Genomic DNA, 13020 nt, shown 5'->3' with positions numbered 1-13020 from the left:
CTTCTTTAAGAATGATGATGACTCTTGAGGGTGGCCTATTACACTGGCCCAAAGGGTCTCACAAATCAGCTTCATTTTATGAAAAAGAAGCAAATAAACAAAGAATGAGTTGACTCTAGGAGTTTTATGTCAATAGCTATGGCTATAAAATTTCATAATAACTGATGCTTAACAGGTGATTCTGAATCACCAAAATTAGGAAAGATTGTTTTCAGTTTTCTCCTGTTAAGGAATGAGAAATACATTTTAGTAGCATTTATGCCACAGAAAGGGACTGAAATAAATATTCCTAAACTTACAGGTTAATTCACAACCAAGAAACTAGGCTCCATAGAATGACTTGATACCCAACTGAACAATTCTTGATAATATAAAGATGGAAACAGAAGCTTAAAGCCAAAATACTGAGAGCCAATTCATTGAAAATGCCCCCCATAGTACCTGTTAATGAAGAAGAAGAAATTAAAATATGTGATAATTAGGCTACCTATGTTAGGGCTGATAAGGCTTTCCAGTAGGCCTAATAACTACAACATGTTAATTCTGTTCTACGTTAGAGTTCACTAAATATGCTATTCACATTGTCTGAAATCTGGAAGCTGAGAATGTATCTGTCCTTTGACCACTGGATCAAGTAGAATTAACCTTTTTAAGTTTAAATATAAATGTCTAATAAAAAGTGAACACCAGCTAGAGTCTCTTACTGGCAGGACAGAAAGTTTTTATTGCTCATGGAAGTACCGTATTAGAACATGAACAGCCTGAACACGTATAATGTATGTGGCAGACACTGCCAGTCAACTAGCCAGGGCTATTCCACCTTCTTCCTTTTTAGCAGAATTTTGATTTTGTTTGGGGAAACTGTGTACCTAACTAAAAATGTCCAATCTCCCAGCTAAAAGTAGCTACGTAACCCAGAATTTGCCAGTTAGTATGTGAATGAAGTCCCTGAGAAGGGCTTTCACTCCAAAATAGAAATACAAAGTTTGCAAGTAGAAGGCTTTTGGGTCCTTCCACTCTCTTCCTTCCTGGAAAGTAGATTTAGGCCTAGAGGAACAGCAACCATTTGCAACTATAATGACAAGAGCCACATGTTAAGGAAGGCAGAGCAAGCCTATCTCTGGCAGCATTAATAAGCAACCAAACCGGCTCTTGGGTATCTACTTCTGGCCTTGTACTTACGCAAGGGGGAAAAAAAGTCTTCTTTTAAGCTACTGATAGCCAAGTTTTCCGGCACTCTCAGCCTAACGCCATCCTAACTTTTACAATGTGATTATTTCTGTTTAGTGCCAGGTGCTTGAAGTACACTATGTAACTTATTTCAATAGCTCTTTGAAGAGGAAAATATTATTCTCCACTTTACAGGGAATAATAGTTAAATAACTCACCCAAGATGACCCAATTAGTATGCAGCAAAACTCAGATTCAAATTCAGATCTGATGGTCTCTATCATTTCTTCCTCAGTGTTAAACCCAGTGCATTATACATCAATGATTGCTCAATAACAATTTTGTTCAAGGATATTTGCATAACAGACAGCTATAGAAGCTAGAGAGAATGTCACTCTCCTGGTCAGAGAGCAGATTTATTTAGTCACTTCAGGATAATAAAGTCTCCCTGCCTTCTTCATGGGGGATTTGCTTACATTCCAAGGTAATAAAGATAATGTTTTCCTAGAGAGGAAAGATTGGACAGGTTTACCAGCAGCCCCTTACCAGCTTGAGGGTTTTTAAACTCAGGGTTTCTCAGCAGTGACACATATCCTATGTGTACAATATTTTCCTGGGCCCATGTGTGCACCAACCCTATGTGACTTACAGAACAAGGGAAACTGATGCAAACATTAAGCCCCTGCATAAACTGTCTAAAGACATTTGGACTAATTGTTTCTTTTCCAAAGACATGCATGGAAGTGTTGGAAGTCATACCAGAAGATCTCATTGTCCTTGCTGCTTAAAATCTCCTTGACCACTGGACAATAGGCAGGAGGCAATCCAGCTGAAATAACTCTTTTTGGCCCAAAAAGATGCTGTTGAAAGAATCAACTTCCTAATATTCAAGTGCCTCAAACTATTTTTTAAAAGATATAATTATTCCAAAACAGTAATTCTTAACTTTTCAGTATTTGTCACACTTTTTTGAATTCTAGAATTTTGACGGTGTACTTGAAAGAGACTAAATACCAAAATCATCATCAAAGTCATTAACAATAACATGAAAATCATGTGACATCTCACAATTTCCATTAAAGCTTCCCTAGTTATGGCTTCATGCATTCCCTTGCAGCCTTTCTGCACTGTGTGGCTGTTTCAGTAGAGCTGTCTCCTGCCCTGATCTTAGCTGTCTATACCCTCCTGGTACAAATGTTCTCACATGCTCTTTCTTTAATGATAGTTTTATATTAACTAAACTGCATCACACAATCCATTTAATCTATGTCATATTTTACAGAGTTCTGAGTGACAGTATTCAGTTGGTGCAAAGAAAAAAACTGTTACATATTGATAAAAGTTTTGTATCATATGACTTGGTGAAGGGATATGGTTATACCTCTGTACCCCAGTAAGCCGATTATGAACCATATCCTGGGACCCTGTACAGAACGTCAATATTGACTAAACACTCGCTGTGTGCACAGAGTGATATTCGTGATATTCTGGCACAGTGGAGAATTATGACAGATATTTTTAAATGGTCCCTACTATCAAAGATATATTTTGAAAAATGGGACATACATATGTGAAACATCCAAAACACATCTATAAACAATAACTACAAAAGCCAATTAACGCAGTGGGTATAAATCTTAGTCTACAATCCAGGTACACAAAAAACATTGAATTTTTTTATCACCTTTAAACAAACCTAAATTCAACTCCAAGTACCCAGCCTACTAAGTTTTTCTTCCCTTAAGAATGCACAGAGATTGTGTGTGTTACAGCACTAAAGGTAGAGAAGAACAGACTCATCACACCCTACCCCCAATCCAGATACATGGGTCTTCACTAATCACCGTTGAGATTATCATAGTCATGACTGAGATTAGTCCTCATGTCCGCGGCTCTGCAGATCCCAGGGATGTGGGAATCTTTGGCAAGGCTGAAAAGACCCCGTGCCCAAAGGGAAGCCTTCCTCCATGAACCATGCCGTCTTCTTCAAGAAAACTCTCCACCCACTTAGAAAGTTAGTTTCCAAAAAAGAATGCCAAGAATGCCAAGAAACACGCCAGCTATCACCACTAACTCCTTTCCCCTTCCTTGTCAGGAAGAAGATCGTCTGTCTGTCTGTCTCTCTCTCTCTCTCTCTCTCTCCTCTCTCTTACATTCTCTTTATTCATCTTTTTTCTTGTACAATTAGCATCATCTCAGTCATAACTACAACACCTAATGTAGTGTTTCTTTTGTATCTGGCACTGTTCTAGTGCTTTATTGTATTTATTATTTTAATCCTTATGCAACTCTAGAAGATATCACTATTATTATTCCCATATCACGGTTGAGAAAACTAAGGCATGGAAAGGTGATTTTGTTCAAGGTCACATAACTGGCAAAACTAGCTGATTGCTAGTAAAAACAAGAGGAGACACTGACCTCAAGAAGCTTCTTTTTTCAGTATCCCTTGTTAGCACAATGCTGTGGAAACTATTTCACAGAATGTGAACCATATACAAAGGTAGGGCATGAATATGTTCCGGCTTTCCTCCTTTTTTAAGCCATAAATTAGGTTCAGCCAAATTTTAAATATCATTCTAAAAACCTTAAGAAGTTGAAGTTTTCTTACAATGGTTTTTAAACTTAGAACTGGTTTAGGTTTTGAATAACAGTGTCAGACATAAAAGGTTTAACTTGATTCTTCAAAAACAAAGAACATTCAACTTTGTGAATTTATTACTCAGTTTTATCTGGATTTGATGCAGCTGGATAGTAATCCTGTGGTGATGAGTTCTACCAATATTAATTTGTGTTTTTTAGGAGGTAGGATCAAGAAGCCTTAGATCACAAATCCTTCATCCTGACCCTAAGATTTCAGATCCACAGTCCACAGGAAATTTCAAATACCATTCAAGTGAGAAGCAATCTCCTGGATTCTCACAAAGTGCTTCTTAGAGGGTTCCTGCCCTCCTGGGACAGTGAAAAGCTGGAAATAATAAAGTCTCACTCTTTCTTCGTCTTTGTCTTTCTCTTTCTTTCTTTCCTTCTTTCTTTCTCTGTCTCTCCCTTTCTTTCTTTTTCTTCTTGCTCTCTCTCTCTCTCTCTGTCTATCTTTCTAAGGAATTTTAAAAGCCAAGGCCAAATCAGTATACTCCTAATGCTATATTTCTATAAAATGAGATTTCTGAGAAATCTAGAATTTGTTCCCACCTAGATGAACATTGTGAAAAATCAAGGCTTAGTTTTCTTCTGACCAGTTACCGAATATAATCAAATGTGGAAATGATATAATTTTCTCTGACTTATTTTTCTTTTTCCTGATAGTGACATGAAACAGCCTTCATTTTTAAAGGGGAATCACAAAGTCTGATGGGTATTTCAAAAAGAAAAACAATAACAATTGATTCACTCTCTCAAAGCCTGTCATGAAACAGCTGAGTCCTGTCACCACCACCAACAAATAACAAATGTGCCAAAGACAGCAAGATGCATTTGGGAGATAAAGCACGGCTTCCTTCATGCCAAAGCACCCACTTGAACAGATGAAGAGAGGGCATGAATACTGCTGGAAGAAGACGATGCTGAGAAGGAGTAGTGATGTGCTAGCACTGGGCAGTAATTGAGAATGTTGGTTTCGTTCCAGGCCCTCTGAGACAGGGCAGCTGCAATGTATCTTTTGACATTGCCACTTGGAGCCAAGTCATCTTTCTCATTAGGCTCTTTAAATGCCACCTGGCCATGCTGAGAAATCTTCTGCAACACAAAGAAGTATTTTAGTGTTCCCTGAAGAAATGCGTACAAAAAGCTAAACAAAGACAACCTTCATTAACACATTGCAAAACTCTAAACTGCCACTGGTACATTATCCTTCAGTGTTATCACAAATTATGGTAGCTATATCTTAAAATCTAATTGCAAATCACAGAATACTTTGGCAATTTTTCTCTTACATCAATGCTTGGAAAATTATTCATGGGCTGAGCCTAACTATGCCTGAAACTGTGTCCTGAATGGCATCTTTTAACTCAAATCAAGAATTTGGTAGCAGGCTTCTCAGTACCCAGATGTGGAGCAGCCAGAATGTTTCAATCCATCTCCAATCTATTACCATAAGTCATTCAGAAAGCTTCTAAGAAAAGATATCCAGAGCAGTGGTATGAGCTTCTTAGACCATGAAAGGTTACTTACCACAGAGTCCCTGACTCCATCTCTACCTCCTTGGCCACCTTATTTCACTATTCTAGATAAGAGAGAAGAGAACAGAAGAGGAAAAAAAAACATTAAGACCAGAGATAACAAAGTTTGAAGTGATTGCTGTTAATATATCCACTGACAGTGAAAAGCAGAGAAATGCTAATTATTTAACAATTAGCAATGCTGTCTCCTTAATTAGAAGTATACCACATTAAGGAGAAACTTGGCACAGTGGCTCATGTCTACAATCCCAGAACTCTGGGAGGCCAAGGCAGGTGGATTGCTTGAGCCCAGGAGTTTGAGACCAGCCTAGGCAACATAGTGAGACCCTATTTCTACAAAAAAACTTTAAAATATGCTGGGCGTGGTGACACACTTCTGTTACCCCAGCTACTCAGGAAGCTAAGATGGGAGGATTGCTTGAGCCCAGAGGTTGAGGCTGCAGTGAGCTGTGACTGTGCCACTACACTCCAGCTTGGATAACAGAGAGAGATCCTGTCTTAAAAAAAAGAAAAGAAATTTGACCAAATAATTTCCACCTTGATTGCAATGATTATCAATCCTAAAAGCAAGGACCACTTGGGCACAACCTAATATTGAATACCAGGGAGATCTGTAAACACATTCTGAACCTTTGTTATAAGGCTTCTGTGATTTTATATCACTTAGGACAGCAGTGCTCACACTGTGGTCTACAGAACTGCATGGATTCCTTGAGATCCTTTCAGGACAATCATTTGGTCAAAACTAATTTCATGCTAAGAAGCTACTTGCCTTCTTCACTAAGGTGATATTACACTATTGCAAAAGCAATAATGAGGACACCTGCTGGCACCTAAACCTGAATCAGTCATTGCATTCATTACCCTGTACCACACACTAGCAGTGGCTGGGGCAAAGGATGAGGGGGAGCAAGTGTTAGTTAAGGGTGTTCTTGATGAATCACTTAAAAGTATTAATTTTATTAAATCTCAACCCTTGAATTCATTCCTTTTTAAAATATTTTATGTAATATACATAAAGCCCTTCTGCTTCTTACCAAAGTACAACAGTCAACCCAAGGAAAAGCATGTATGTGAGTGCTTGAGTTGTGAAGTGAACTAGCTGACTGGACATTTTAGTCAACACAGAATGCAGTAGTCTTGGGAAGATAGTAGGCTATTCACTCATTCAATTAGTATTTCTTGAACTTAATGTTCTTCTTAATCTATATTAGACATCAGCTGTCTTTCAAAGTTGAATGATACATTGGCTGGTTTTCAATCATTCTTTTTTAATAACAGCTTTATTGACATACAACACATATACTGTACAATATACAAATTGTGCACCATTTAATAGTTTTTAATATATTCACAAAATTGTGCAACCATTATAATAATCAGCTTTATAACATTGTCATTACCTCAGAATGGAACCCCCGTACTCAGCAGTCACTCCCCATTTCTTTCCAACTTCCTCAGCTCTGGAAAATCACTAATGTATGTTTTCATTTCTCTTGAATACATACATGGAGGTGAAATTGCTAGGTCATAGAGTAACTCTATGTTTGACCATTTGAGGAACTACCAGGCTGTTTTCCAAAGCTGCCATACGATCACTCTTAACAGCCTTAGGTAGTAATCCATTCACTAATTTAGGAAATATTTATTGAAAACCTAGTATGCCCAATTTCATGTGCTAGCTATTAGTGAAATAAAAGAAAACAAAGCAGAGACTCTACCATAGTGGAGAGTATCATCTAATAGAGAGATACACAAAATCATAACTTTGTGGATGAGTGGAATGATAGGGAAAGTTCAGGTACCAAGGAGTAGGTAGTAAAGGGACCTAATCTATTTAGAAGCCTGGTGAGATCTCCCTGAGAAAGAAAAGTTTATGCTGAGACCCAAGTAAAGGGATAAGCAGAATTAACTTGGCAAAGAAAGGGGAAAGTGTTTAGTACAAAGGAACAAACTCACGTAAGACCTGAGGGAAACTGTCTGTTTGAGAAACCAAGAGAAATTCAATGTGACTGGAAACTGTATATGTGCAAGGCAAGAGGGTAAAAATTGAGCCTGGAGAAGTACAGAGACGATTGAAGGGTTATTAATAGGGCAATAACACTATTTGATTTGTGTTCTAAAAGAACACACTTGTTTCTGCCTGGAGGAAGGATTGGAGGGAAGCAGAACTAGAGCTTGAAACCAGCCCAGGGTTTATAGACAAAGATAGTCAAGAAGTTATGGTGGCCTGAACTACAGTGGTAGTATAGTTGTGAATCCAAAGGAAATAAAAAAAATGCTTAGAGAGTAGAATCAGTGGGACTTCGTGATTGATTGAATATGAAGGACAGAAAAAAGGAAAGGACCAAAGTAGATTTTTCTATTCAGGTACTAGGTGGATGTTAATGACATTTCCTAAGCCCAGGCCACAGGAGAATATGCCAAATCATGGTCCACAGGAAAACTTCCCATGCACGCACTAAATGCAAGACACTGGGCAAGAGTTGTGAGTATACAAAAAAATAAGGACGTTGTAGGCAGAATAATGTCTCCCCTTAAAACATGTCTGCACCCTAGAAAACTGAAACTGGACCCCTTCCTTACACCTTATAAAAAAATCAATTCAAGATGATCAAAGACTTAAACATAAGACCTAGGACCATTAAAATCCTAAAAGAAAACCTGGACAATACCATTCAGGACATAGGCATGGGCAAAGACTTCATGTCTAAAACATCAAAAGCAATGGAAACAAAAGCCAAAATTGACAAATGGGATCTAATTAAACTAAAGAGCTTCTGAAAAGCAAAAGAAACTATCATCAGAGTGAACAGACAACCTACAGAATGGGAGAAGATTTGTGCAATGTATCCATCTGACAAAGGGCTAATATCCAGAATCTACAAGGAACTTAAATTTACAAGAATAAAGCAAACAACCTCATCAAAAAATGGGCAAGGGATATGAACAGACACTTCTCAAAAGAAGACATTTATGCAACCAACAGACATATGAAAATATGCTCATCATCACTGCTTATTAGAGAAATGCAAATCAAAACCGCAATGAGATACCATCTTATGCCAGTTAGAATGGCGATCATTAAAAAGTCAGGAAACAACAGATCCTGCAGAGATTGTGGAAAAATAGGAATGCTTTTACACTTTTGGTGGGAGTGTAAATTAGTTCAACAATTGTGGAAGACAGTGTGGTGATTCCTCAAGGATCTAGAACCAGAAATACCATTTGACCCAGCCATCCCTTTACTGGGCATATACCCACAGGATTATAAATCATTCTACAATAAAGACACATGCACACATATGTTTATCACGGCACTGTTCACAATAGCAAAGTCTTGGAACCAACCCAAATGTCCATCAATGATAGACTGGATTAAGAAAATGTGGCCCATATATACCATGGAATACTATGCAGCCATAAAAAAGGATGAGTTCATGTCCTTTGCAGGGACATGGATGACGCTGGAAACCATCATTCTCAGCAAACTATCACAAGATCAGAAAATGAAACACCGCATGTTCTCACTCATAAGTGGGAGTTGAACAATGAGAACACATGGACACAGGGAGGGGATCATCACACACTGGGGCCTGTGTGGGGTTGGGGGCTAGGGGAGGGATAGCATTAGGAGAAATACCTAATGTAGGTGACGGGTTGATGGGTGCAGCAAACCACAATGACATGTACATACCTGTGTAACAAAACTGCACGTTCTGCACATGTAACCCAGAACATAAAGTATAATAATAAAAAAACAAAATGTCTGCACCCTAATCCCTGAAACCTGCAAATAAATTACCTTATATGGTATGAAGAAACGAGTTAAAACAGCAGTTTTAAATTGCTATTCTTGAAAAGGCCTACCTCTAGGATTGGCCCTTAGATAGTATCTGGGAATTTAGACTTTAGAGGGTTCCCACTGTTAACTGATAAGGGTTGCTCACTGTGCTTAAAATGTTTTGGCAAACAATATAGTTTATGCTGAATGCCTCCTTTGCTTTTGGGAGTCTGGAATTTTAGAACGTGATAGGTAGAAGTTGCCTATATGACCAGCCCCAGAAAAAACTGTAGACACTAAGTCTCTAATGACTTGCTTCAGTTAATAATATTTTACATGTGTTGTCACAACCCATTGCTGGGAGAATTAAGCACATCCTTGGTGACTCCATCGAGAGAGGACCCTGGAAACTTTGTGCACAATTTCTTCAACTTTGCCCAAGGGCCTTTCTCTTGACTGGCTTTGATTTGTTTTGGGTGTTTTCTGCCATAATAAATCATAGCTGTGAGTATGACTATATGCTGAAACCTGTGAGTCCTCCTAGCAAAGAATTAAACTTGGGAGTGTTCCTTTTACACTGTTGGTGGGACTGTAAACTAGTTCAACAATTGTGGAAGACAGTGTGGCAATTCCTCAAGGATCTAGAACTAGAAATACCATTTGACCCAGCCATCCCATTACTGGGTATATACCCAAAGGATTATAAATCATGCTGCTATAAAGACACATGCACACGTGAGTTTATTGTGGCACTATTCACAATAGCAAAGACTTGGAACCAACCCAAATGTCCATCAATGATAGACTGGATTAAGAAAATGTGGCACATATACACCATAGAATACTATGCAGCCATAAAAAAGGATGAGTTCATGTCCTTTGTAGGGACATGGATGAAGCTGGAAACAATTTCTGAGCAAACTATCGCAAGGACAGAAAACCAAACACTGCATGTTCTCACTCATAGGTGGGAATTGAACAATGAGAACACTTGGACACAGGGTGGGGAACACCACACACTGGCACCTGCCGTGGGGTGGGGGGATGGGGGAGGGATAGCATTAGGAGATATACCTAATGTAAATGACGAGTTAATGGGTGCAGCACACCAACATGGCACATGTATACATATGTAACAAACCTGCACGTTGTGTACATGTACCCTAGAACTTAAAGTATAATTAAAAAAGAAAAAAAGAATTAAACTTGGGAGTGTTCTTGGGGATCCCTAACACACAGAGCAAAAGGGATTTTGCTGACATGATTAAATGCCTTGAGATGGAGAGATTATCTTGGATTATGTGGGCAGCCCAATGTAATCAAAGTAAAGGTCAGAGTGATGTGGTTGCTGATTTTGAAGATGGAGGACTATGTCATGAGCCAAGGGTTGCAGGTGGCCTCTAGAAGCTGGAAAAGCTAAGAAGACAGATTCTTTGCTCAAGCCTCCAGAATGAATCCTGCTGACACTATGATTATAGCTTAGTGAAACCCATTTTGGACTGAGGTAAACTAGTAAATTTGTGGTATTTTAAGACACTAAGTTTGTGGTAATTTCTTTCTTTTTTATTTTTCTTAGCAACAGGATTTGTTCTATCACTCAGGCTGGAGTGCAGCAGTGCAATAATAGCTCACTGCAACCTCCAACTCCTGGGCTCAAGCGATCCTCCCGCCTGAACCTCCTGAGTAGTTAGGATTACAGGTGCGTGCCACCACACTCCACTAATTTTTAAATTTTTTGTGGAGATGAGATCTCACTATGTAACCCAAGCTGGTCACAAACTCCTGGGTTCAAGTGATCCTCCTGCACTGGCCTCCCAAAGTGCTGGGACTATGGGCATGAGCCACCGCTCCTGGACTGTGGTAATTTCTTATAGTAGCAATAGGAAAGTAATATAGGTGACCTCATGAACCATTAATTTTGGGGATGAGACAAATACATAAACATGCAATACTTTCCAAAGATTTCAGTGACAAACTTTGACTATTGTGTATTTTTCTTTTCTTTCTTTTTTTTTTTTTTTGAGATGGAGTTTTGTTCTGTCACCCAGGCTGGCTTGCAGTGGTGCAATCTCAGCTCACTGCAACCACCACCTCCTGGGTTCAAGCAATTCTCCTGCCTCAGCCTCCCAAGTAGCTGGAATTACAGGCACCCACCACCATGCCTGACTAATTTTTTGTATTTTTAGTAGAGACAGGGTTTCACCATGTTGGTCAGGCTGGTCTTGAACTCCTGACCTCAGGTGATCCACCCGCCTTGGCCTTCCAAAGTGCTGGAATTACAGGTGTGAACCACCATGCCTGGCCTATTGTGCACTTTTCATTTTTCCTTTTCCAAGAACAGTGACAATACTTATGAATAATCAGAAAGTAAATTTCAAGGGGCAGCTTGTTATAAATTGACAGAAGCAGAGTAAAACTGGCTTACTGGACATTTTCCACCTCTTCTTATCCATGACAACTCTGTGTAATATGTAATGACAAACTGGATTGCCAAATCATGAGCCAGAAAACATAATATACCTCATTCATGACACCTTTAAACATTTTGGGGGAGTGGGAAAAACTCTAGCTGGCAGTTTATCAGCAGTTTAACAGATTAGAAAACTCTGGTAGGTTTTCCTGATATAAACTAAAAGGTAACATGATGTTAATTATTGTGAGACGGTTAATTAATGGACTGGTCAATAATGCATATAAAACAAGATTTCCACTACCAAGAAAACAGGTGTCTGCTTGACGGAAAGGCAAAGTTAAATGATTCAACCACCTTTAATTTCACAGTCTGTTAAAGATCAATTATGTCCTATCAATGTTAAATCCAAGCCAGACTAAGTGATTTATGTACAAATACCCTCACACATGGAATAATTGTTTATTAACTTATCTTTATTAAATATGAACTCAAGAGATTATATTGGGAAGCAATTTACACTTACAATTTTTCCCTTTCTGTTTTAAAAATATATCCCTTAAAAAACTAGAGGACAAAGATATTGCTTTTATTTTAGACTAAATTAAACACAGTAATTTAATGCAGTGATTCAGATGTGTCCACAAAATGTAGGTGATAATATGTTTAATTCAGCTTTCCAAATAAGAGTTTTCAATAGTGCTTCACAGCAATGAAAATTCTAGTTTCTGAGAGTTGGCTTCATGTATTCACTCTACAGACACTTGTACAGTATTTACTACTAGACTGAAAACATAGAGTGAAGTATTGGTGAATAAAGAACAACCCCTAATTTCAAGGACCTCATAGTCTAATAGTAGAAACCAACATGTGAAAGGTAATTGTAAAAATGGGATGGAAAAATACAGTGATAGACTTATGTAAAATAGAGGCACCTATCCCAGCCTGAGAGTAACAAGAAAATATCCTGCAATCAGTGTCACCTGCTATGAGCCTTAAGGACTGAGCAGAAGTTATGTATACTCCAGCAGATGGGACTAAATCAGTAAAGACAAAACAGGAATAAAAACACCTAGTATGTGCAAGGAACCACAGACAGTTGCAAGCTGCTGGAGTGTGGATCATTTATCCAATGGCTATAGATCTGTTTAATTTGCCTCACAAATTATGCAGTAATTAATGAGTAATAGCTGAAGTGTCATAACAGCACACACTTAATTGGGGGAATGAGTATTTAAAATTCATTTTTATTTTAATTGTACCATTTTGGATAGTTCCCTCTACAGCTTGGAACCACTCAATCCACTATAAACAGTTAATGTTTGGGGTCAGTTTAACACTTTTCCCAATTTTTATTTCCATTCTATACTGTATCCCGAGTGCTTTTATATTTAAATGTTTAGTCAAGGAGAATCTTGTCTATTCTTTCTATGCTTCTTAACAATCTTAGATGAAACTCACTGAAAAGAAAAATCCCT

Source organism: Homo sapiens, chromosome 6 (genome assembly GCF_000001405.40).
Source record: "Homo sapiens chromosome 6, GRCh38.p14 Primary Assembly".
In the NCBI taxonomy this organism is placed as follows: Eukaryota; Metazoa; Chordata; class Mammalia; order Primates; family Hominidae; genus Homo; species Homo sapiens.
The sequence above is the reverse complement of the archived record's forward strand: the minus strand, read 5'-3'. Positions refer to the sequence as shown.